At 39.2% G+C, this 7,699-nt stretch overlaps 1 protein-coding gene across 6 annotated transcripts in view; it reads right to left on the reverse strand.

Annotated features, from left to right (window-relative positions):
* Nucleotides 1-7,699, reverse strand: part of CA1 (carbonic anhydrase 1) — a 50,506-nt gene that overhangs the window by 25,431 nt on the left and 17,376 nt on the right. The gene's annotated exons all lie outside the window — the stretch shown is intronic.

Below are 7,699 nucleotides of genomic sequence, written 5' to 3' on the forward strand. Positions count from 1 at the left end.
AGAGGGGAGAGTACAGGCTGCTTTGAGCCAGAACCAAAGGGCACTGTGTGCTCTCCAGTGGTCAAAAATTTGAGGAGAAATATCTGGCTTAAGCGGGAGAAAAGTGAAAGCAAGAAGAACATGAGCCATTAATCTTGTGCCACACTAATAACTAACATGACGCTATAGACTTGCAATTCAGCTCACTTGGGTAGCATTTGCATCTTGAGTTTCTCACACATTGTGAAAAATCACCCAGGGATATTTTTATTTATGATCTTAATTTAATTTTGTTGGACGGGTACTATGTTCATGTGGTTTCAAATTCAAAGGTATAAAAGGGTACAAAGTAAAAAACAATCTTCTCCCATTTTCTGTCCCAGAGAAAACCAAAGTTATCAATTTATTTCATATATTTAAAGAGATATTTGATGCATATACATGGGTATAACTGCACGTATTATTTTGCTCTTTCGAAAAAAATACAAATAATACATACTGTATACGCTTTTTTTGTCCCTTACTTTTTCCCCTTAATACATTAGAATTTGGCCCTATTACTATACAAAGAGTAATTTTTTTCTTTTTGTTTTACATGTTTTGTTTTACTTTTTTTCCTTAATTCATTTTCTTGGAATTTGGCCATTATACAAAGAGTATTTTTTTTTTGGCTTTGCAACGTTCTTTTTTATGGCTTGCCATTGTTTATTTAGCCATTCCTCAATCAATGGGCATTTAGGTTATTTCTCATTGTTATAAACAAAGTTGAAATGAATGGTACATTTCCTTGTATATGGAGAGGACTGCTACTGGATACAGGAAAAGGGGTCTAGTAATATGAATACCTTGTAAATAAATACATAGATTTTTGTTCTTCTCAATGACTTCTCACTGCTTAGATTCTAATAACTATCCTGACAGGGAGGGAAAGGTAATACATACTTTTTTTTTTCTTTTCTTTTTTTGAGACAGAGTCTCACTGTCACCCATGCTGGAGTGCAGTGATGTGGATCTCGGCTCACTGCAACCTCTGCCTCCTGGGTTCAAGAGATCCTCCCAGCTCAGCCTCCCGAGTAGCTGGGATTACAGGCCTGTGCCACCACACCCAGCTAATTTTTTTTTTTTTTTTGTATTTTTAGTAGGAATGCGGTTTCACCATGTTGGCCAGGCTGGTCTCAAACTCCTGACCTCAAGTGATCCACCCACCTTGGCCTCCCACAGTGCTGGGATTATAGGTGTGAGCTACTGTGCCTGGCCCATTTTTCTTTCTTTTTTTTCTTTTTTTTTTAACATAAGGAAAAACATATCTAGAGAGAGGCAAAGGTGACAGCTTTCTTTAAAGGGAAAGTTGAATGGAAGGAAATTAATCTCTTAGATACACCCCAGAGTACCACCTTTTAGCAGAGAAGTCCATTCTTCCTTCCAGAAAAAGTGCTAAGACAAAATCTTGTTGGGATGATCTGTTTTTAGAGTTCTCTAAAAAATATCTGTTTCCTCACACATATACAAAGTAAAGGAAAGCAAATAGCTTATAGAACAAGGACGACTTTTACATGATTGATAGCAGATTCAAGGTGGAGTCACCAGTGGAAGTCACTGAGACAACAGAGAAGAGAGATCTTTCAAGGCGGGGAACCAGCTTCTGACTGAAGGGTGTGTGTGGTGGTGGCGAGGCAGGAGCAGTCTCATTGTCTTTATAAATAGCTCTCCAGGACAACTTTTGTGTTTGATATAAAGAGAGAAAACAAGTTTGTGAGCACAGTCTTAAAACCAAGGGAGCATACCTTAGTTACATCCTGGAATAGACATGTATGAACCTGTCTTTTCTGGAAGCTAGATTTAGGTTAGCTTGAATGTCCAACCTATACCTGTATGCCTGCTTTCCATTCTGTCTTGTGCCATCTGGAGCAACTCAGCTTTCTGGACCTTAGCCCCAGTCTTCCAATCTAGACTGTGACGTTGCCTTTGACCTGTGGTTGGTCTTATGTAACAGCCAATGACTGCTGCCTGTGTCAGGATGTATGTCCCTGCTCTGCCCATCCCCTTCCTGCCAGCTCAGCCCAGCTTCTACTCCAGTACCCTCTTATCTCACCCTGTTTCATGGCCTGATACTGACCACTAGTTGAGTTCAGGGTCAAGTGACTGCTTGAACCAGAGGTTGAGAGAAATGCAGCCAGTCAGGGCACTGAGATCACTGACTGCTGTGCGAGAAAAACTGTAGCTGCAAAGGAAGAACTGGTATACACGAACACTGAGAAACATCACCCCAAAATTGTTTTTCTCTAACTGAAGTATGAAGGTGAATATACAAAGAAAGAAACTTTAAAGCTTAGTGAGAAAGCAACCAAATGTACCTATGCACTTATTTTTTATTTAAAAATTAAAAACAAATTTTTAAAAGACAGGGTCTTTCTCTGTCACCCAGGCTGGGTGCAGATCACTGCAGCATCCAGGTCCTGGGCTCTAGCGATCCTCCCACCTCAGCCTCCCAAGCAGCTGGGACTACAGGTGCACGCCACTATGTCTAGTTCCTTTTTTTTTTTTTTTTTTTTTTTTTACTTTCAGTAGAGACAGAGTCTTGCTATTTTGCTCAGGCTGGTCTTGAACTCCTGGGCTCCAGGGATCCTCTTGTCTTGGCCTCTCAAAGTAGGGGCATTATAGGCATGAGCCACCGTGCCTGGCCCAGATTTAAATTTTTACTTTTAAAAGTATATATTTTTTATTTTAAAAAAGTGATTAAGTGCATTTTATTTATTTTGTTTTAATGTAACTTGAAGCTAAACTTATTATGTGAACCAAGCCATTTTGATCAGTGATAAATGGCAGGTCTAGTTTTTTTTTCTTCTTCTTATTGAAAGATCAAGAACCTCAGCCTGCCATGACTTTCTTGGCTTCCTTTACTAGCATTTAATCCTTCTAGTATTTGACATAATTCCCATGACAACGTGTGGACTGAATATAACGTCCTTCATTTCACAAATGAGGAGATTGAAATTGAAATATTTTGTCACTTGCCAGAAGTCCCATGTCAGGGTGGCAGTGTTGATATTTGATCCTACTTTTTGTACCTCCAGCCCAAGAGTTTTTTCTATGACAATCAGGAACCTTGAGATTAAAAACACATTGAATGTTGTCATATGTTGGTAAGAATAAAATACCAAAAAGAAAATGCCTTCTACACACAGCTTTTCTCATGTACTCACTCTAACCTTCTATTTGCACAATTGGAAGCAAATATATCAGCCTCATTGAGCTTCAGTTTTTTTGTTTGTGAGGCAGAAATAACAATAACAACCTTACACAGTTGTGAGGATGAGTAAATAGTATATATAAAGTGTCTCATGAAAAGATAGCACTCAGTGAATGGCAACTTTCCTATAATGATAATAATTATTATTATATAGGAGATCAGGTAGGTGAAAATGTTTTATAAATTGCAAATTGATAAATGCAAGGTACTCTTATTATAATTATTTTCTTACATTTAAAAATATTTATTCACTAATTTTAGAATACGTTTTAATGGTTGGATCCATTTAGTATATTCACTTTAGTGCTATTCTAAGCCATTATTTTAGGAAATTAAAAATTTAAAATTAGTTTAACTGAAGTGAATACCAACGCTTCTGAAAAGTGCTTTCCTTTTTTTTCATTTTACTTAATCTTAAAACTAAATGTCTTTCTGCAAGAAGAGATAACTCGAGACTTCTGTTGGGATCAAGTATGATTAATAGCCTGAAATCAGAAATAAAGCTGCTTTATGGAAGAGTAAGAAAATAAGGTGCAGATGAATCTCCTAAATTATTCTTTGTGTACTAGAGGAAAACAAAATAAAATTTCCTCAACCCTTAAAAACTTTGTGAGCTCTAAAACCATTGACAAACATAATTTATTATTACAGAATCCCAGTTGCACACCTGAAAACCCTGGGGCCACATGTGTTTCAGAATTCAGAATTTCTCAGATTTTTGGAAAGCAATACAACACAAATATTATATATGAATGCCCTTATCAGGGTCTGGGGGAGTACCTTGTAATTGAACACATTACTATTTTTGGAGCAAATGTATGAATAGTCATAGTACATGGAATAAATAAAGACTATAAATAGCTTCGTGTCAGGTCAGGTTAGGCCCACAGGTGAGTTCAGGTCACATCAGGTCATGTGTTTTCAGGAACAGTTTTGGTTTTCAGAAATTTTTGGATTTCAGAGCTGGAGATAAGAGACAGTGGAGCTGTATTTTTATCCCCAATGTGGAGCGGGTCAACACAAAGGCAACGTGTCTGGTAGGAAGATCATCAGATCCAGACTCAAGTAGGCCTGAACACCTGATCTACCTTTTAATCCTCGGATTTATTGTGGAAATTATTTCACCTCTATAAGCCTCTGTTTCCTTATCTGAAAATGGGGAAAAGAATCCTACCTTGCAGGATTGTGGCGAGGGTTAATGATAATATAGGCCAGGTGTCTAGTTACCTGGTACTTACAGTATGATTGATAGCTGCTATCATTGTTCATGAGAGGTGGTATCTAATGAAATAGAATAAAATCTCTTTTTTTATTATTTCAAATTTGAAGGTAGCAGGGAAAAGGGGTAGAAATTTTGTATATGAATTCCAGCAGACTTCCTAAAGGGAAAAGGGGCAAGGCCCCAAAGCTTTGTCTCTGGGACTTAACATTTATTGAAACCTATTAGGCTGGACGGGATAGCAACTATTCTCAGCTCAGAGTCAGGGAAGTTCCAAAGAGTCCAAAGAACCCCTGAAATGAAACCCCCAGGAGGGTAGAAAGAACTTGCATAGTGGGTTGGTCCCAACTGAGAGACAGGCAAATGTAGTCTGGGCCCATGAGGAATTGGACATAGGAACTTGTCTCACTCTGAGCATCTGTGGTCATGCTTTCAACCTGCACGAGTGACTGTGTGAATTCATTTATTTATTCATTTAGCAATTGTTTTTGAATGTCAACTAAGCATAGATCTATGAAAATATCCAAGAAACATACAGAAACAACTCTATCTTCATTAGCATTATAGTTTATGAGGGACTTAAACAAGGATCAACAGCAAATCACCCAAAATTGTGGTGAATTTTCTAAAGGGATAAACTAGGTGGGCAGTGGTAAGGGCAGGAATGGGCTACTTACAAGGAGGAAGGCAAGAGGAGACAGGACAGCCATGACCAAGGTTGAGGTATGGCCAGAACACTCCTCCTCTGTGACACCTCGCTGCTGTGCTTTCTCATCACCAGCTTTTAGATGGAGTGCCATCCCCTCAGAAGGCCTTCTTGACCTCGCTAAACTTCATTTCACTCTCCACTTTGGCCAATCACTTTCTACCCATTATCCCAGTTTATTTTTTCGGAGCTTTTATAACCGTCTGAAATTATCTTTTCTAGTTTTGCATGTATTTATTATATGCTTCCCCTCTTTAGAAGGAAAGATTCTTGAGATCTCTGAGGATTTTGTCCAGTGTCTGAGGGTGCCTAAATATTTGTTGAATGATTAAAAGGAAGACTATGCAAAGACCTTAAAGCAAAAAAGAGCCCGATGCATTCTAGTAAATAAAACAAGGCATTTGGGTCTTGTTGATGCTAATGGCCTCCAATGAATCCTGCCTTCTGGTATCCATACCCTTTTGTAGTCTCCTCCCTTACTGACTCAGGGCATGGCCACATGACTTATTTGGCCAATGGGACATCAGCGAACAACACGAGCGAAGGCTTGATAAGTGCTTGTTTAGAACACAGATGAGCCATGTGAGAAAGTCCTGCCTGGTCTGGTCTCCCTCAAGAGGAAATACTGCTTGGAGAGCAAGGTGCTGGCATTCCAGCTGTCCCAGCTGAAATTCAGCCACCCAGCTGAAATTCACTCAGTGAGTAAGTCCAGGTAAAACCAACAGAAATATCCACCCATCAACCCCATAACAGTGAGAAGAAAAAAAAGTTGTCACTCTAAGCCACTGAGTTTTTGGGTGGTCTTCTATGTGCAAAAAACCTGAAACAGAGCCGAGGCATAGTGAGCAGGTGAAGGTAGTGTGAGATGGTTTAGAAAGGAAAACAATCATTCAGAACCTTACACAAGTCAAGTTACTGTATGTTAAACACAATGGAAATTAACAGGTTTGAAGGAAGGGAAGACTTATTACTGTACCCTACTCACTGTACCCTACTCAGCAAAGCCATATTCTCTTAATGGTTTTCAGAAGCCAAGGTAGAGAGGAAGTGCCTTTTAAAAATAGCTTTTGAGGCAAGAAAGGCCGTAACTGGAAGGCCAGATGGAAGAACATGAGCAGACTTGTTTCTGAGCACATGAAACATCCAAGAATTAACATGGTGGGTTTTGATTGGAGTGGAGTATGGGGAGAATCTATTCCTGCAGGCCAGATCTATGAGTCAGTGACTTCATTCGGTGGATGAGTCCTAGGGAAATTCAAGTAACTCTTAAAAATAGAAAGACGTGGAATTGCTAACGAATGAAAAATAAGATTCAACCACTTGTAAATGATGATATCAGGACCCTTCTTGTATTAATTGGTGGAGAGGGTTTGGAAGAAGAGACACTGAACCTCGAATGAAAAGGAAGCCCTGCATGGAAATGACGTGAGACAGGACAGGGCAGCTGGAGAAACAAAAGACCAATTTCATAAACGGTTATTTTCTGTTTATCTTTGTTTGTGCAAGAGCACAGAAGAAGCTGCTCACAACAGTCTTTCACATATTGTTGATAACTTGGTAGGTATTATAACAAAGGCTTATTCCACTAATGCCCCTAAAAATGTGGGCATGTATCTTATCTCTGTGCACTGGCCTCTTTGATATACCCTGGGACATCCAGATACCCTGAAACCTGAGTCCCAGGGCTTAAAACCCACTTACTGGTATTGTGTATGATTTACCAATAAGGAGACTAAATTCCTTACCAATAAGGAGACTAAAACCATGGAAAACATGTGCTTATGTTCTAGACAAATTACGTTTTCTGGTTGTAGCATTTGGTTAAAAAGCAGACACTGAAAAAGCAAGCTATGGACATATAGAAAGAACGGTTCAAGTCCCATTGAATCTTTGTTAGCCAGTCTTTGGGAACAAATTCCATAGCCCTTCTTCCATAAATCCTTCTAGAAAGATAAAATATGAGATTTTGTAGCCTTTTACCTCCTCTAACCCTAACTTGCTTGAAATATCTAGTAATTTTTCATACCTTAAATAGAAAAATCAAGCCAGCCAGATTTTATTTATAAGAAGATGAAATACCAATTTTCCCTGAAAGTAGGCCTAAATGTAAAATTAAAGGCACTGCTGACCTTTTCCTGTCAATCTAAAAGGTAAAAAATTTTTAAAATGGCCTGGGCACTCAACAGTAAAGCCTTTTTAGAAAACAATACAAGCGTTGGCTGGGTGTAGTGGCTCAGGCCCATAATCCCAGCACTTTGGGTGGTCAAGGCAGGAGTATCACTTGAGCTCAGGAATTCCAGACCAGCCCGGGCAACATGGCAAAACCCCATCTCTACTAAAAAACACAAAAATTAGCCAGGCGTGGTGGCATGTGCCTGTAGTCCCAGCTACTTGGGGGACCGAGGCAGAAGGATTGCTTGAGCCTGGGAGGTCAAAGCTGCAGTAAGCTGTGTTTGCAGCACTGCACTCCAGCCTGGGCGACACCCCCTGTCTCTAAATAAATAAATATATAAATAAACAATTAAAAATGATACAAGCATAACTC

Source organism: Homo sapiens, chromosome 8 (genome assembly GCF_000001405.40).
Source record: "Homo sapiens chromosome 8, GRCh38.p14 Primary Assembly".
In the NCBI taxonomy this organism is placed as follows: domain Eukaryota; kingdom Metazoa; phylum Chordata; class Mammalia; order Primates; family Hominidae; genus Homo; species Homo sapiens.